General features: G+C 42.6%; 1 pseudogene; it reads left to right on the top strand.

Annotated features, from left to right (window-relative positions):
* KRT18P43 (keratin 18 pseudogene 43) lies at nucleotides 6894–8275 on the top strand (annotated as a pseudogene).

Below are 19893 nucleotides of genomic sequence, written 5' to 3'. Positions count from 1 at the left end.
TATAAGAGGGAAAACACGGAATTTTGAAAATGTGACCTGTTATATTTGCTAGAGAAACATTTATAGCTTGAAAAAGAACATCCATATTTTTTGATTCCTAGTAATTTACTAGTAGGAAGTACAAAATAAGAATTGAATATAAGAAATTTAAGTTGTGTTTCAAGTAATGCTTTAGGCTTCCAGTTTGAAGGTAACCTGCTCCTTTGTTGACACACATTTTTATCATTGGCTGTTGAACTCATTATAAGAAATAGCATGTGGAACTGACTGTATTTATTCCAGGGTTATTGTTCATAAAGCAGTGGTCAACAGCAGGGACTTAGATGACCAACAGACTCAATAAGCCTCAGCACCACCACTCATTAGCTGTATGGCCTGGCCAAGTTACTGAACTTCTCTGAGCCTTAGTTTCCTCATCTCAGAAGAGCCCTTCTTGGGAAAGGGAAGGCAACAAGGTAGACAAAATGCTTGAATAGTTCTCACTAAACATTAGCCATTATGTTAGGTAACTATATTGCACAGAGTCCTCTGTTGAGGATCCATGGGAGGAATTTTTCTCAGCTTGTAGTACTAGGGACAATTGTTTTGTTGTTGTTATTGTTGTTGTTGTTGTTCTGAAAAATAAGGCCAAAATAAAACCTCAGGAATCACGTAACTAGTGTGTTGCATTCTTTGTGTTGGTTAGTAGGAAGTTCAGGACCTGCCTTTAGGCATGCATTTTATTATATTTTTATTTATTTATTTTTGAGACAAGTTCTTGCTCTGCCACCCAGGCTAGAGTGCAGTGGCACAATCATGGCTCACTGTAGCCTCTATGTCCCCAGACTCAAGCAATCCTCCCACCGTAGCCTCCAAGTAGCTGGGACCACTGGTGCACGACCGCATGCCTGGCTAATTTTTTTTCTGTATTTTTTTGTAGAGACAGGCTTTCGCCATGTTGCCTAGGCTGGTCTTGAACTCCTGGACTCTAGCAATCCACCCACCTCGGCCTCCCAATGTACTGGGATTATAGGCGTGAGCCACCATGCCCAGCCTAGACATGCATTTTAAAACCAGAAATGATCTATGGCTTCATCTTATTTTTCCTAACATTATTTTCCCTTTGCCCTAATTTTTACTAAACTGTCTTTCTTGTGTTGTATATGCATTTTGAAGTGTCTCATAAATTATTAGCATTTATAATATTTATGCATACAGTTTTTGTTTTTTTTTGTTGTTGTTGTTTGTTTGTTTTTTTGAGACAGAGTCTCACTCTGTCACCCAGGCTGGAGTGCTGTGGCGTGATCTCAGCTCACTGCAAGCTCCACCTCCCGGGTTCACGCCATTCTCCTGCCTCAGCCTCCTGAGTAGCTGGGACTACAGGCGCCCGCCACCATGCCCAGCTAATTTTTTTTTTTTTGTATTTTTAGTAGAGACGGGGTTTCACCGTGTTAGCCAGAATGGTCTCGATCTCCTAACCTTGTGATCTGCCCACCTCAGCCTCCCAAAGTGCTGGGATTACAGGTGTGAGCCACTGCGCCCCGCCCTAATGCATATACTTTGTTTGTAATCACTCTGGTAGTCTCATATTAGAAGAGCTTGTATCTGAAAGACTTGCTTATACATTGTTCAACAGAAACTTATAAATGTATTGTTTTCATAGAAGCAACATCATAAGGAGTAATTAGGTTTGCACCAGCCCATAAACATCAATCTAACAGTGTAACAGCGGTACTCATTCCAACATAGAGCCACCATTTATATTTCTGTTTCTCTGGAAAATGTGATCAGTGTTATCAGTGGGGTTCATTAACGACATTTACTCCTGACTCAGCTCCGGTGAGTTCCCAAGACCCTCACTTGCGGTTGTTACTCCTCTTACTCCCCACACAAGCTCCTGCTATGATGGTGGGGCTGAGACTGTGTTAAAGAAGGAACTCTGGCAGGTGGAATGAGGTGAGTTAGAGGCTTCTAGAGTCTGAGGCTGATTGGAAGTGGGAGAGAAAAGGTAGGAACTTCCTTGTATTCAGTTAGTGCATACCAGTCTGGCTATGCCGATTGTTAAAATACTGACATTTTCCCACACCGGTTGGAAAATAGCCACTGCCCTGAGCCCCTAACTGCTCACCCACCCCAGTTGCTCCTGGACAACCTCTCCCCGCAGTGCAACATCTAAAGGGGTAGTTCCTAACGCAGCCGGGGGCAGGCAGCTCCTGCTTGGGCACCTCAGCCAGCCTCCGGTTGCAAACAAACCAGTCAGTTCTGGAGGTGATTACCCACTAAATGAGAGGGATCACAGTGCGGAGGAGTGGGAGGGCCCACAGGTCTCTGGCTATTTTGGGACTAATTGGAAGAAGCTCCACCGGAAGAGAGGAACAGGTGACAATAAGCCACCAGCAATGGCCTTGGGGATTATTTGTTAGTCATTCAGGAGTGTTGTAAATTTGCGCCCTACACTCTGTACAAAGAAAAGCCTTTTTACTTTCCTGCAATTGATCTAGTATCCCTCCAAAATCCTACTCTCTGGGTAAGAGGTGAAGACTACATTTAGTCAAATCTGGTCAATTCCAACTTATTCAACAATATAAGGAGACAATGTTTCACATGTAACATAGTCTCTTCCAAGATGAAATTGTCTCTTTTGGATTTTTAATTCATCTCCCTTTCTTCCCCAAGATGACACGTGAGATGACACGTGTCCTGGCGATGGGAAAGTGGAGGATGGGGTATCAGAGAGTGTTGAGGGCCCATGTACTGCCCTTTGAGTCTCCTGATGCTGCCTCAGGCTGGAGGCTCTGGCTTTAGACACAGACATCATCGTGGTCTGTTTGCCAGGAGGTCATCCTGGCTGACTCAGCATCATGTTGTCCCTTGCTGTGACAGGGACACAGTAGAGCTCTAGGGTCTGGTCCTGATGCCTGTTCATCCCTTGGCTTGCGCGGTCCTCGCTGTAGCCTTGGGCACATGTTATTTTTGCCCTAGCCTTGGTGACCCACCCTAGCAAGCTTCCCAGAAACAGCTTCTCTTATATTGCCCAAGGGCATGCAGGCACTTCTAGGTCCCTTCCACACCACACAGAGTCACTCAAGAAAGGTAACTCAGCCTGTCTCTGCCTGGCCTTGGCAACCCTAGGTTGTGCCAGGGCACACTGCTGAGAGGTTTTCTTCTAGGAAACCATGCAAAACGTGGGGGCAAGAACCCTTCTGCACTTAGCTTTTCCCTCTACTCATCTAACACAGCTCCCCTCTTCTGGACTCCAGAGTACCCTTGAATGTCCCTGGATTCAAAGAATAGCCCAACTTTCTCCTGACTTGATGAGACTGCCTTATATACAGCTGTGGTCCTGTCTTCTAGTCCTGGCTCTTAGTATGTTAACCAGTGGAGATGATCTGAAATCTTTACCCATTCTCTCTCAACAAGGTTTAGTTTTGAAGACAAATGTCTCAACTAAGTAGGTGAAAAAAAACAATGTGAGACTCAAAGCCAGGCCACCTCAGTCTCCTTGATGACAGGAATTCTCACCTTCTCCCTCCTTGGGGAATGACCTCAGGGCTCCATCTCTGAGTCATCTGAAGCAGCAGCTGCCTTTGTATCTTCACATCTTTAAATTATCTCATCTATTGGAAAAATGTAAAGTTAGCTTGCAAATTTTGTTATGACTTACATCAGTAACTTCTGTAAATATAGTAAGGATATATTGAAAAATAAAGATTGATTTAGAACTATTTTATATGATCATTTGTTTTGATAAGCGCACAGTTCTGACCCACAATGTACTTGAAATGATTTTCTCCTACACTGTGTAGTTCTTGTTTTCTAGGAGATAAACATGTAAATATACAAATGGAATGTAATCGGATTCATTGCAAAGAAACTTTTTTCATGTAAACAAACGACTTCCGAAGAAAGAATAGGAAACATTTCCTCTTCATCTGTACTTCTCTTTCTTTGCCCAGATGTAGATGGTGCTTATTTCACAATCTAAGGAAACTGTGAAAAATTGAAATCTCTATCTCATGAGATTGTGGTTCACTTTTTAAAAATATAGTAGCATTAAATAAATTATTCTGATATTGTTATATGTGTTTTGTAATGCTTCTAACAATTAACAGAAGGCTGTATTTTACATAAGCCTTACGTGAATGAAAGTGTTTGCTTAGGGAAATAATTGACATAGAAATAACAAACAGTTTATAATCAATTGCATATAATCATTTCAATGAAGTATACTGTTGTTATAAAAGCAATTCCATTGAATCAGCTCTTTCTCATATAGATTATACAAATGAACAACAATTTGGAAATGGTAAGGTAAGAAAGACAGTCAACAGAGAGGTTTTCATTGTCATTTTCCTTAACTGCCTTAATTTAAAATGGTCTCACTTTCATTAATATTCCCTTTAAAAAAATTGCTAAAATTTAGAAAGCCACAGGCTCTGAGTAACAAAAATAATACTTAAAAAATTTTCCACGTGGTAAAGTGCTTTTAAAAATCATTTAATTTTAAATAATGCTTTCTAATGACCATAAAATGCTGAGCACCATGAGCTCTGTATGCTGAAGACATAGTTCTTGCTTCTAGTTTATAATCTATGCCTTCTTTTTTTTTTGTTTTGGCAAAGGACCCTTGTTTCTGCTATGTGATTCCCTTGTTCTTCCTTCTTCACTACTGAGATAGCATAAAAACTAAGCATGCAAAATAACTGATAAGGTATGTAAAAAGAAAGTTGACTGGGAAACAGGAATAAATGACATTTCATTCTCAAATGGGCAAATTTTAATTTAAAAGGATCATCTAAACAATTCCACTTGTAAACTGGCTGTTGTTGGGATTATTTCCTTTAGTATCAAGATCGCAAGATAAAAACTTCTCTGGGGAATTTGAATCTAGGCTTCTGGAATTAAACTTCTGGAATTGAATGCATTTTTATTATGTGGATATTAATTGTTATGGAATTTGTTTCCAAAAATGATTGCATTTCTCCAAATAAAAACATTCCCCACAAAGCATGATTATGGAAAATGGGAACTGCAATTATTATGCTCTTATGGCTCAATAAAATGTTGAGCTCTTTTGCTGAGCGTCATTATGTTCATGGGTAACATATTTTCACTGTCATTAGAACACTTGCAAAATTAGGCTAGAATTACTCCATTGACTGCTATTAGCCAAAGCTCCAGGATCCAGTGCCAAAAATAAATCCTTCTAATAATAGACTTTAACAGTTGTACAAAGCAGGCTTTTAAATACTGGTTTCTGGAAACTAAATATTACTTGCTGTAACAAAGGGCCTATCACGCTTAGATATCTAGCCCAGCCTAGTTATATAGACAGATTTCCTTTTAATAATATGATAATGTTTACAGAAGTAGCATAATGACACTACTGATAACATTTTTTTCTCTGTTTAAACTCTTTTTTTGGTAAAGAGACTCTAGTTTTATAAATATTATCCTATTCACACCCCAAATACCCAGATATTTTACAAAGCAGTAATAGCATTTGAACAAATCCTGAAAAGATACAATAATTGCATTTCATACACTCTGGATCATTGACAAAATCAGAAGTGAACCCTGGGATCTCTCTGACTCTTGACGTGAGCAGTTCTCTTTTTCAAAGCAATCTCAGATGTCATTGTTTTATAACTAAATAATGAATCACTTTTATGAGTGTCGCATGGCATGAAATATCTTTTCTTTTCTTTCCTTTTTTTTTTTTTTTTTGAGATGATGTCTCGCTCTGTTTCCCAGGCTGGCGTGCAGTGGCGTGATCTTGGCTCACTGCAACCTCCGCCTCCCAGATTCAAGTGATTCTCCTGCTTCAGCCTCCCAAGTAGCTGGGATTACAGGCATGCGCCACCACATCCAGCTAATTTTTGTATTTTTAGTAGAGGCGGGGTTTCTGCGTGTTGGCCAAGCTGGTCTCCAACTCCTGACCTCGGGTGATCCGCACACCTTGGCCTCCCAAAGTACTGGGATTACAGGCGTGAGCCACCGTGCCCGGCCATCTTTTTTAAAGTTGTGATAAGTATATATAACATAAAATTTACCATCTTAATCATTTTTAAGTGTGCAGTTCAGTAGTAAACACATTCACATTGTTACACAGCAGATACCCAGAACTCTTTTTATCTTGCAAAACTGAAACTCTATGCTCATTGAACAACAACTCCCTTTCCCTCTCCCCACCAGGCCCTGGTACCCGCCATTTTACTTTCTATAAGCTCTACAAATTTGACCACCGTAGGTACCTCATGTAAGTGAATCATACAATATCTGTCCTTTTGTGACTGGCTTGTTTCAATTAGCATAATGTCATCAAGGTTCATCCATGCAGTACCATGTGTTAGAATTCCTTTCCTTTTTAAGGCCAAATAAAATTCTATTGTGTGTATATACCACATTTTATCCATTCATTCATCCACAGGTGGACATTTGTGTTGCTTCTACCTCTTGACTACTGTGACTAATGCTGCTGTGAACATGAGACATGAGTGCATAGATATCTCTTTGAGATTCTGCTTTTAATTCTTTTGGGTATATACCAGGAGCAGAATTTCTGGATCATTTTTTAAAGTTTTAATTTTTAAAAATTCTATTTTTTCATTTTTGAGGAACTGCCATGCTGTTTTCCACAGGAGCGGCATCATTTTATATTCCCACCAGCAATGCACAAGTGTTCCAATTTCTCCACATTCTCACCAACACTTGTTATTTTCTGTTGTAGTTGTTTTTAATTATAGCTATCACATTGTGCATAAGGGGGTATCTTGTTGTGGTTTTGATTTACACTTCCCTCATGATTAGGGATGTGGGGCATCTTTTCACCTGCTCATTGGCCATTTGTATATCTTCTTTGGAGAAATAGCTTTCAAGTCCTTTGCCCATTTTAAGATCAGGTTGCATTGTAGGCAAAACCTGAGTCCTGTCCTCTCGCTCTCCTCCCGGACAGCATGAGCTTCACCACTCGTTCCACCTTCTCCACCAACTACCGGTCCCTGGGCTCCACCCAGCTGCTCAGCTACGGTGCCCAGCCGATCAGAACCGTGTCCAGTGTCTATGCAGGGGCCGAGGCTTCTGGTTCCCGGATCTCCGTGTCTTGCTCCACCAGCTTCCGGGACGGCTTGGGGTTCAGTGGCCTGGCCATGGGGATGGGCGGGGGTCTGGCAGGAATGGGGGGCATCCAGAATGAGAAGAAGACCATGCAAAGCCTGAATGACTGCCTGGCCTCCTACGTGGACAGGGTGAGGAGCATGGAGACTAAGAATTGGAGGCTGGAGAACAAAATCTGGGAGCACCTGGAGAACAACGGGCCCCAGGTCAGAGTCTGGGACATTACTTCAAGACCATTGAGGACCTGAGGGCTCAGATCTTTGCAAATACTGTGGACAATTCTAGCATCGCTCTGCAGACTGACAACACTCATCTTGCTGCTGATGACCTTAGAGTCAGGTATGAGACAGAGCTGGCCATGTGCCAGTCTGTGGAAAGCAACATCCGTGGGCTCTGCAAGGTCATTGATGACACCAATGTCACTCAGCTGCAGCTGGAGACAGAGATTGAGGCTTTCAAGGAGGAGTTGCTCTTCGGGAAGAAGAACCATGAAGAGGAAGTAAAAAGCCTACAAGCCCAGATTGCCAGCTCTGGGTTGACTGTGGAGGTAGATGCCCCCAAATCTCAGGACCTCAGCAAGATCATGGCAGACAACCAGGCCCAATACAATGAGCTGTCTCGAAAGAACTGAGAGGAACTAGACAAGTACTGGTCCCAGCAGATTGAGGAGAGCACCACAGTGGTTACTGTGCAGTCCTCCAAGATCAGAGCTGCTGAGATGACGTTCACAGGGCTGAGATGTACAGTCCAGTCCTTGGAGATCGACCTGGACTAGATGAGAAATCTGAAGGCTAGCTTGAAGAACAGCCTGAGGGAGGTAGAGGCCCGCTACACCATGCAGCTTGATAAGGTCCTGATGCACCTGGAGGTGGTCCTGCTGCATCCCAGGCAGAGGGACAGCATCAGGCCCAGGAGTATGAGGCCCTGCTGAACATCAAGATCAAGCTGGAGGCTGAGATCGCCACCTACCATGGCCTGCTGGATGACGGGGAGGACTTCAATCTTGGTGATGCCCTGGACAACAGCAACTCCATGCAAACCATCCAAAAGACCACCACCCGCAAGATAGTGGACAGCAAAGTGGTGTCTGAGATCAATGAGACGAGAGTTCTGAGACATTAAGCCAGCAGAAGCAAGGTACCTTTTGGGAGCAGGAGGCCAATAAAAAGTTCAGGGGTCAAAAATACAAAATAAAATCAAGTTGCTTGCTTTTTTGTTGTTGTTGAATTGCAGAAGTTCTTTGTATATTCTGGATATTAACCACTTATCAGATATATGATTTGCAAATATTTTTTCCCATTCTATAGGCAGGATTGAAGCCTGGGCAAAAGAGTGAGTCCTTGTATAAAAAAAAAATAACTTGGCATGGTGGCACATGCCTGTGGTCTCAGCTACTCAGGAGGCTGGGGTGGAAGATTGCCTAGGCCTGGGGGTCAAGGCTGCAGTGAGCCATGATGGCACCACTGCATTCCAGCCTGGGAAACAGAACAAGACCCTGTCTCACCAAAAAAGAAAAAGAAAAAAAGTTTGGTCTTTGCCAAGACCAGAATGAGTCCAAGTTTATCTTCAAGAAACTGAAAGCTACTTGAAAGCATCAATCATTGAACCTTTTTCTAAGCTGGTTGCTTATACCTTTGAGGGATGACTTAGGATCAACAGTACTAAAGTTGGCAAAATAGAATTTGAGTTAGCTGCAAAATATCCCGCATCAGACATCAGTGCTAAATTTATTGCTGTGTCCATGTAGAAAATGGTTCAATGCTTGAGGAGCTCCATTAAGATCAAGGAGATACGCACTGTCATCTCTAACCATGAAAACATTTTCAATGCCCTTCATTCCTTTGAGTAGATCCAGATTTCTATGTGGTATCATTTTCTTTTGGTTGAAGGAATTTCTTTAATATTTCATGTAATGCAGGCCTGCTTGTGGGGAATTCTTTCAGTTTTTATCTGTCTGAAAAAAATATCCGTTTTTCCTTTATATTAGAAAGATATTTTCACTTGGTGTAGAAGCCTAAATTGACAGGATTTTTTCCCAGTACTTTAAAGGTATTGTTTGGCTGGGCTTATGCCTGTTATGCCAGCATTTTGGAAGGCTGAGGCAGGAGGATCACTTGATCTCAAGAGCTCAAGACCAGCCTAGGCAACATAGCAAAACCCTATATCTTAAAAAAATAAAATAAAATTTAAAATTAGCTGAATGTGGTGGTGTGTGTCTGTTGTCTTAGCTACTTGGGAGGCTGAGCTGGGAGGATCACTTGAGTCCAAAATGTCAAGGTGTCAGTGAACCATGATTGCACCATTGCACTCCAACCTGGGCAATGGAGTGAGATCCTGTCTCAAAAATTAAAAAACAAAAAACAAAATAAAGGTATAATTCCACTGTTTCTTGCTTCATTGTTTCTAGCAAGAAGTCTGCTGTCATTCTTATCTTTGGTTCACTGTAGATAATGTGTCTTTTTATTCCTCTAGTTGCTTTTAAGATTTTTTAAATTTATCACTGGCGTTAGGCAATTTGATTATAATATGCACTATTTAGTTTTTTTGTGTGTGCTTTTTGTATCTGGGGCTCATTGAACTTCTTGGTTCTGTAGGTTTATGGTTGTCCTCAATCTTCAAAAAAATTTGGCCATTCCTCTATCAAGTAATTTGTATTCCTCCTTTTTCCTTTAGGGACTTCAATTACACATATTTAGCTCAGTTGAAGTTATCTCACAGCTAGCTAATGTCTTCTTCTTTTTTAAAAACCTTTTTGGCTGGGCGTGGTGGCTCACGCCTATAATCCTAGCACTTTGGGATGCTGAGGTGGGCGGATCACCTGAGGTCGGGATTTCAAGACCAGCCTGACCAACATGGAGAAACCCTGTCTCTACTAAAAATACAAAATTAGCTGAGTGTGGTGGCGCATGCCTGTAATCGCAGCTACTCCAGAGGCTGAGGCAGGAGAATTGCTTGAACCCAGGAGGCAGAAGTTGCAGTGAGCCAAGGTCGTGCCACTGCACTCCAGCGTGGGCAACAGGAGCAAAACTCCATCTTGAAAACAAAAACAAAAACAAAAAACAACTTTTTTTCTCTCCTATATATTTTTACATACTTCCCTTAAAAAAGCATTTCTATCTTAAATGTGGTACCAAATGTGCAAAACAGAACATCACCCTTACTTGCTCTGGTGATGTGAAGAAAGCATTCAAACTACAGCATAGGCATCTGTATATAAGGTGGAGCTGGGAAGGGTAATGGTTAAAAGCATGGGCTCTGGAGCCAGGCTAGATGGCTCACATCCTGGTTCTTTCACTTACTAGCTCTGCAATCTTAGCCTCTTTCTGCTTAGCTACTCATCTCTAATATGGAGATGGTATTAGTACCTGCCTCTTAAAATTATGGCAAGGATCTCAGTTTATACATAAAAAGAACTTCGAACTGTGACGGATGCATGGTAGACACTCAGTAATCATCAGCTATTATCACTGCATTTTACAATTGCCTTAGCAAGAAGCCCAAATTAACTGAACTAGACTCTCCAGAGAAGGGGTCTGGGGATCTATATTTTTAACAAGTATTCTAGCTAATTCTTATATTCATGCAACTTTAGAAATGCTGACCCAAATAATATCGCTAAAGATTGGATAAAATAAATTAAGGAGCTCACCCTCTCTGTAGAAGTCTTTTCTCACCTGCACTGCAAGGAAAGAAAAATCATGAGTTTTCATTGTATGCAGTAGTTGTGCCACACCCTTTGAGACATATAGGAAGTCATTGTCGCAAATATTTTCCTTTCTTTGAAAGCAACAAAATAAGTAACAAATTATGAACAAACACTAAGTTCAATAAGTGAGACAGAAAATCATGTCTTCACAAAGAACTTTCCTTAATCATCACCCCCTGAAAATAGCTTTTCTATGAATCCCAAATAATAAAAGGAAGGATAGAGGGCATTACTCCTAGGATCCTCTCCCCACCCTTCCCCACACCCTCAGCAGCCTCCCAGCGAGTCTGGAGATATATATACAGCTAACATTCCTTGTCACCAACACTTAATCAGTAATCAAATTGTTACGACACACCAAACATCTCACATGCACCATATTATGTTATCTTTATAATAATCCTCTGAGGTAGCCACTATTATTTGCTTCATTCTAGAAATGGAAACTGAAGCTCAAGAGGTCAGGATCCTAGTAGAGGCAGAGCCAGAATTTGAACCCAGGCCTATTTGACTTGAAATTTAAGTGTGTAACCACTATTCTATTCTACCACTTCCAATGGTATGGTCCTCAGTCATCCACACTCATTTTACCCCCCAAGGTAAGCAGTTTGCTTGGGTTTCTAAGACAGTGCATAGCTTGGCCTTTATTAAAACTTTTCAAATAACAAGTTTCAACTAATTGGTATTCCAGTCCCTTCTAAATCTGGCCCCTGAATACCTCATCCTAACGTTTCCACTCCTCGTTAGTGTGAACTTTGTTGCCCTTTCTGCACACAGACCTTGCACATTCTTGACTCTGGGCCCTGCTTCCTCTCAGTTCCTCTGGAAAGCTTTCCCTCTTTCTCACCCAAGTTCCACCCTTCCTTCATGCCTTAGCTCCAATTCTACTGATTATGAAAGCTTCTCTGAGTTTCTCAGTAATTTCTCTTATCACTTTATTATACTTACAGCTTTAATCGACAAGATGCACCCCTTAATGAAATATTATTTTGTACTGATCTTTTACTGTTGTCACATGTTATTCTTAATTTCCCAATTAGAATGTATTGGAAATGTGGCAATGTAGAATGTAAGGAAAATGTTCATGTCTTATACTGCTGGAATATCCTCCCCATATATATGCATACATCCAAAAGTACTTATTGAGACCCTACGTGTTGGGCTGTGCTGGGCATTAGGGATAAGCCTGTAAAAATCTTTGCAAAGGAACAAGACACAAGGTTATTTTTGCCTCCTTCAATGGTAAGGCACTTAATAGGTATTACAAATAATTAATTAGATTAAGTTTGGGGATATAGCATATAAAAAGAACCACATAATTTCGGAACTAGAAGAGATCTCAGACCAGGGATTTTCACTAGGGATGAGGTGCCTCCTTGGGTATTTTAGAAACCTATGGGGGTTGGGAGATAGAAGCGGGCGGATCACGAGGTCAGGAGATTGAGACCATCCCGGCCAACATGGTGAAACCCCGTTTCTACTAAAAATACAAAAAATTAGCTGGGCATGGTGGCGGGAGCCTGTAGTCCCAGCTACTCAGGAGGCTGAGGCAGGAGAATTACTTGAACCCGGGAGACAGAGGTTGTGGTGAGCCGAGATCGTGCCACTGCACTCCAGCCTGGGCGACAGAGTAAAACTCCATCTCAAAAAAAAAAAAAAAAAGAAAAAGAAAAAAAAGAAAGAAACCTACGGAGGGTTTCTGGTTGGTTGGTTGTTTGGGGAATGTTATGGGATTTGATGGGTGGTTCCAGGGATAAAGTATGTCTTGTAGTATGTGGACTGCCCTGCTCAACGAAGAACTGTATTGCCTCACACAAAATTTTAAGATGATTTTCTGGGAATTCATGGAGATAAATTAGAATTAGCAGAGCTTAGAATTGAACTCCACTTTACATGAAACACAGAGCTTTCTCTTGTGTGATTTTAGTATACATTGAATTATCAGGTATTCAATTCTGATATAAGTTCAGGGGAAATTGATTTTTTCCTTTCCAAACTTTTTTTTTTTTTTGAGACGGAGTCTCACTCTGTCGCCCAGGCTGGAGTGCAGTGGCGAGATCTCGGCTCACTGCAAGCTCCGCCCCCCGGGGTTCACGCCATTCTCCTGCCTCAGCCTTCTGAGTAGCTGGGACTACAGGTGCCCGCCACCACGCCCGGCTAATTTTTTGTATTTTCAGTGGAGACGGGGTTTCACCGTGTTAGCCAGGATGGTCTTGATCTCCTGACCTCGTGATCCGCCCACCTCGGCCTCCCAGAGTGCTGGGATTACAGGCGTGAGCCACCGCGCCCGGCCGATTGTTCCAAACTTTACTAAGAGTTGTTCATTGCAAAAACATCACATCAGGAAGAGCAATGCCATTTATGCTATTTGAGTCACCACATAGACACATCACATCATTCTATGTTCCTAGACATTCTATGGCTCTCTCTATCTAAAACCTCACAATATACTACTGTGAAATATATAATAACTTAATTCTGATTTCAAAATGTTAAATATTTTAAAAGTCAAAAATATTGCATTGGCCAGGCATGGTGGTTCATGCCTCTAATCTCAGCACTTTGGGAGGCTGAAGCTGAAGGAGTCCTTGAGCCCAGAAATTAAAGACCAGCCTGGGCAACATGGTGAGACCCCAGTCTCTACAAAAAATTTAAAAATTAGCCAGGTATAGTGGTGCACACCTTAGTCCTAGCTACTCAGGAGGCTGAGGCAGGACAATCACCTGAGCCCAGGAGGTGGAGGCCGCAGTGAGCCATGTGTATGCCATTGCATTCTAGCCTGGGTGACAGACCAAGACTGTCTCAAAAAAAAAAAAAAATATATATATATATATATATATATGTTCCACTGAATATAAATTAAAATATTTTGTCATATTAAATATAATTTAAATATATTGAAATGTAATAAAATAGTAAAGTAATATATATAAATTAAATCAAACATATTAAATATAAGCAGGCACAAGTGGCTGGCTTTTCTGTCTTTCTGTGTAGTTGTGCTGGAATATTTGCATATTAAAATGCATGACTTTTTTTAGATTACTTTCATTAGTTTTCTCCTTCATATTACAGTCAGGGCATTATATTGATGTATTTTTTTTTTCTGCTCTGTCACCCAAGCTGGAGTGCAGTGGTGTGATCTTGGCTCACTGCTTCCTCTCCTTCCTGGGTTCAAGGGGTTCTCCTGCCTCAGCCTCCTGAGTACCTGGGATTACAAGCGTGTGCCACCATGCCCAGCTAATTTTTGTATTTTTAGTAGAGATGGGTTTTCACCAGGTTGGCCAGGCTGGTCTCGAACTCCTGACCTCCAGTAATCCACCTGCCTCACCCTCCCAAAGTGCTGGAATTACAGGCTTGAGCCACTGCGCCCGGCCTATATTGATCTTTGAAAGACTTTTTTAAAAAGTAGTTTTAGATCCAAAACAACAATGAAAGAAGGGTACAGAGATTTCCTTCCCATATGCCCCAGGTCCCCTACATACATAGCCCCCCTCATTATCAACACCGCCCCCCTCACCACACACAAGAGTAGTACGTTTGTCACAACTGATGAACCTAAATTGTCACAGTGTAATCACCCAAAGTCCATAGTTTGCATTAGGTTTAACTCTTGATCTTGTACATCCTGTGGATTTAGACAAATGTATAATGACATGTATCCACCATTATAGTATCATACTGGGCATTTTGGCTACCCTAAATGTCCTCTGATTTTTTGGAGGTGTGCAGACAAGTTATATTTTCTATAAATTCTTCTTCAGGATGTTAAGGAGATGCTGCCAAACGTTTGTTATTAGAATAGGGCCCTGGGTCCCCCTTGGGTAAGAACCACTGCAGTAGGATCAAGCCTGACCTGAAGTCATCAGAGTATGCTTACCTCTGCTACAACCCTTGTTTCAATGCAGTGTTTTTTTTTTTTTTTTTTTTTTCTTACCTTCATGCCCTCCTTGAGAGTGTTGGTGACCCCGGGCAGAGTCTGTGATCTCTTTTCTTTTTTTTTTTTTTTTAGACAGCGTCTCACTCTGTTGCCCCTGCTAGAGTACAGTGGCGTGATCTCGGCTCACTGCAACCTCCGCCTCCCGGGTTCAAGTGATTCTCCTGCTTCAGCCTCCTGAGTAGCTGGGACTACAGGCACGCGCCACCACGTCTGGCTAATTTTTGTATTTATAGTAGAGATGGGGTTTCACCATATTGGCCAGGCTGGTCTCGAACTCCTGACCTTGTGATCCACCCACCTCAGCCTCCCAAAGTGCTGGGATTACAGGCGTGAGTCACCGCACCCGGCTGAGTCTGTGATCTCTTGAATCTCCAAGTGCCACCTGCAGTACCAGGCATGCTGAAGTGAAATGGCACCATGAGTGATGAGACGGATGCTGAAATAGTGACTGCAAAGTGCAATAAAAATATTGGGCAAAGAAAGAGAGAGCTTGCCTTACCTCTGGCTTACAATGTAATTTTAAAGATACTCATAAGGATGTTATCTGGAAAGGATAATAATAACAAAAGAAATAATGCCTTTGGCGTGGGTTCAGTCCTAGGAACTAGAGTTCAGGCTAAACTTTCATGCTTCCTGTCCTTTCCACGCGTGTCAGAATTATATTCAGAATGGAGGTTTTAAAACTCATCTCCTGAAGGGAGATTCTAATACTTTGTGGGTTTCGGTTAAGGTTTAGGACACAATGAGAGATGAAATGCTTGAAAATATATCTGGGAAGTGTTGAGGGAAGCAGCCTGGCACTTACATTCAGCAAGCACACCACCAGTCCCATCCCCACCCCAGCACACACAGACACACACAGGAGTCACCATTTTGCACAAAAACTGTGTTTTCATTTCTTTGTAGTGTCCCCTTCTTAGGTCTCTGATCAAAAATGCAAAAGAGATTCACAAAAACAAATAATAATAATATGTCCTCAACTTTTAACAGAACAAAATCTCCCTCGATGTAACAGAAATAAACCCTGATCAAAGTTATGTGCTTCATGCTACACACTATGGCTAGAAACTCAGGCTCTCTTGATTGGAGAAAGAAACATGCTTCAGAGAGAAAGACAGGTTCCAGCTGGTTCAACATGCTTCAGAGAGAAAGACAAGAAGTGTGATTTCCTTCAGTTCGCCTATGTAGGGAGAGCCCTGGGGAGACGGGCAACCAGGCACCAGCCACATGAACCAAAACCAGTCAAGAAGGGAAATCAGGTCAGGCATGGTGGCTCATGCCTGTAAGCCCAGCACTTTGGGAGGCCGAGGCGGGCGGATCACCTGAGGTCAGGAGTTCCAGACCAGTCTGGGCAACATGGTGAAACTGGTCTCTAGTAAAAATACAAAAATTAGCTGGGCGTGGTGGCATGTGCCTGTAATCCCAGCTACTCAGGAGGCAGAGGCAGGAGAATCACTTGAACCCAGGAGGCAGAGGTTGCAGTGAGCCGAGATTGCACCACTGCACTCCATCCTGGGTGACACAGTGAGACTCAGTCTCAAAAAAAGAAAAAAAACAAAAACGAGATAAGTCAATAAAAAATACAATATGTCAATTGATTTTTTGGGATGAATTATGAATTCTTATAGGTATAACAGAAAAAGAAGTAACTTTTCTCTTCTGATCCTGGGGTTAATTGAGTAATTCTTTTATTTATTTATTTATTTATTTAGAGACAGAGTCTTGCTCTGTCACCAAGGCTGGAGTGCAGTGGTGCGGTCTCAGCTTACTGCAACCTCCACCTCCCGGGTTCAAGCGATTCTCTTACCTCAGCCTCCTGAGTAGCTAGGATTACTGGCGCCCGCCACCACACTCAACTAATTTTTGTATTTTCTTTTTACTAGAGATGGGGTTTCACTTTGTTGGCCAGGCTGGTCTCAAACTCCTGATCTCAGGCAATCCGCCTGCCTCCGCCTCCCAAAGTGCTGAGATTACAGGCGTGAGCCACTGCGCCTGGCCAATTCAGTAACCCTTATCACTAGCTTTTCCTACTTTCTATTCTCCTGCTGTTGCCTTTCTAAAGATATGCTAAGAAAAACAAAAGTGAGGTCTTATCTTTTCCATATATAAATGCAAAAAAATGGTATTTCTGACTCCACGCCTGCTTCAGAAACCATGGTAACAGCCCTTCTACCAGGAAGCTGTAGCTAGAGTTTCACCCTTTCTAGCCACGAGGAAAAGACTGCCCGTCTCAAGGCCCTCAATCAGAGAAACTCCTCTGACTTGATTCCTTCTCGCCATATCATCTGAGACACCATTCTCATTTTGTGGATGATGTTTTATTTTTGTGAAATTGATAAGCTAACCATATTATATTGGATGTGAAGAGAGGGTGATAATGAAATGTGATATAGTGACCATTGGAACAACACAGGTTTGAACTGTGTGGGTACACTTATATGCCACCCATGAGACAGCAAGACCAATCCCTCCTCCTTAGCCTATTCTCAATGTGAAGATGAGGAGGAAGAAAACCTTCATGATGATCCATTTTCCTGTAATGAATAGTAAATATATTTTCTCTTCCTTATGATTTTCTTAATAACATTTTCTCTTCTCTAGCTTACTTTATTGTGAGATGCAGTATACAGGCTGGGCACGGTGGCTCATGCCTATAATCCCAGCACTTTGGGAGGCCAAGGAGGGTGGATCACCTGAGGTCAGGTGTTCAAGACCAGCCTCTGGCCAACATGGCAAAACCCCGTCTCTACTAAAAATACAAAAATTAGGTGGGCGTGGAGGCGCATGCCTGTAATCCCAGCTACTCGGGAGGCTGAGGCGGGAGAATCACTTGGACCTGGGAGGCGGAGGTTGCAGTGAGCCGAGATCGCACCACTGCACTCCAGCGTGGGCGACAAAAGCGAGACTCCATCTCACACACACACAAAAAAAGATACAGTATACAATACATATAACGTACACAATATGTGTTAATCAACTGTTTATGTTTCTGGTAAGGCTTTCAGTCAACATTAGGCTATTAGTAGTTAAGTTTTTGGGGGAGTACAAAGTTATACATGGATTTTTGACTGTGCTGGGAGTTGGCACCCCTGACCCCCATGTTGTTCAAGGTCAACTGTAATTGGAAAATGCACCTCCATTTTAGAGTGCCAAAACACATCTGCATGTGCTACTTTGAGTTTGAAAAGAGAAAATTCTTTGCCTATAAATGCCCATGGCTACAGCCAAATGAATTATCTTTGTTCCTTCAGCAGAATAGAGCCATAGGAGGCGAGCACCTTGGGCTCCTTACTAACAATAGTAATAACAATAGCTAATTGGGTGCCGCCTCTGTATTAAGCCCTATGCCTTGTCCTTACACATTACCTCATGTGTCCATCACAACAGACCTGTGAGGCAGGTACTGTTATTACTTTCATTTTTCTGATAGATGAGGACGCTGAGGAAAAGATACATGCAGGCTTGCAGAGCTAGTGAGAGACAGAACTGGGATTTGAACCCAAGTCTGTCTGGCTTCACAAGCTTCTCACCACTCACACACTGCCTTAGCTTGGCGTTTAGTGGATAGGAGCATCAATCCCTCCCTCCCACCCTCACTCCTACCCCCCATACCCCTGGTCTGTGCCACTGGAATTTCTAGGCTTTGCTTGGTTCTCCTACCCCTGGTCCTGTCTCCTTTCTTCCAATTGAGATCTCAGCATGCAATTGTTACTGTTGTCTGCTGACTGGAATATAGCTGCCTACCCTTAGCAAGCACAAGATGAGCTTAAGTCTCTTCAAGTTTCATGCTAACGATGCCTGATACTATTTTTTTTTAGACGGAGTCTCACTCTGTCACCCAGGCTGGAATGCAGTGGTATGATCTGGGCTCACTGCAAGCTCCGCCTTCTGGGTTCACGCCATTCTCCTGCCTCAGCCTCCTGAGTAGCTGGGACTACAGGCGCTCGCCACCACGCCCGGCTAATTTTTTGTATTTTTAGTAGAGACGGGGTTTCACCATGTTAGCCAGGATGCTCTCGATCTCCTGACCTCGTGATCTGCCCGCCTCGGCCTCCCAAAGTGCTGGGATTACAGGCATGAGCCACTGCACCCAGCTGACACTATTTTTTTTTTTAGACGGAGTCTCACTCTGTCACCCAGGCTGGAATGCTGTGGCGTGATCTCAGCTCACTGCAACCTCTGCCTCCTGGGTACAAGCGATTCTATTGTCTCAGCCTCCCAAGTAGCTGGGATTACAGAGGGACACCATCACGCCCGGCTAATTTCTGTATGTTTAGTAGAGATGGGGATTCACCATGTTGGCCAGGCTGGAATGCTTGACACTCTTTAGCTAAGGAATTGTCATCCTGCCACTGTCATCATTCTAGCTCTAATACCGGAAACACTGTGATTAAGGACGCAGCCGTTGTGGCTGGAAGTCTAATTTACATATCTGAAAGGGTAAGGCTTTTTCTTTATATGCTTCTCTAGGCCAGACTCCAAACAGCAGGGATGATGGTTATGTGAAGATGTTTTTCATATAGTTGGGGCTCGTGGACACCTGTTTTGCACATCAGTGAGCCCCTCAGATTCTTGGAAAAATGGGGTAGTAAATTTGGGGAAATTACAAACTCTTGGAGCAACAAGATGAAGAATTTTGGCTGGGCAAGGTCGCTCACACCTGTAATCCCAGCACTTTGGGAGGCCGAGGCAGGTGGATTACCTGAGGTCAGGAGTTCGAGACCATCCTGGCTAACACGGTGAAACCCCATCTCTACTAAAAATACAAAAAATTAGCCAGTGTGGTGGCAGGCGCCTATAATCCCAGCTACTCGGGAGGCTGAGGCAGGAGAATGGTGTGAACCCAGAAGGCAGAGCTTGCAGTGAGCTGAGATTGCACCACTGTACTCCAGCCTGGCCAAAATGGTGAAACCCCTTCTCTACTAAAAATACAAAAATTAGCCAGGTATGGTGGTGCATGCCTGTAATCCCAGCTATTTGGGAGGCTGAGGTAGGAGAGTCTCTTGAACCCAGGAGGCGGAGGTTGCAGTGAGCTGAGATCGTGCCAGGCTGGGCGACAAGAACAAGATGCCATCTAAAAAAAAAAAAAAAAAAAAAAAAAGAAGAAGAAGAATTTCAGACAAAAATGTGATGAAGGCTACCCCCAATTTAG

This window comes from Homo sapiens, chromosome 3, assembly GCF_000001405.40.
Source record: "Homo sapiens chromosome 3, GRCh38.p14 Primary Assembly".
NCBI classification, from domain to species: Eukaryota; Metazoa; Chordata; class Mammalia; order Primates; family Hominidae; genus Homo; species Homo sapiens.
This window is presented reverse-complemented; position numbering and strand designations above follow the sequence as displayed.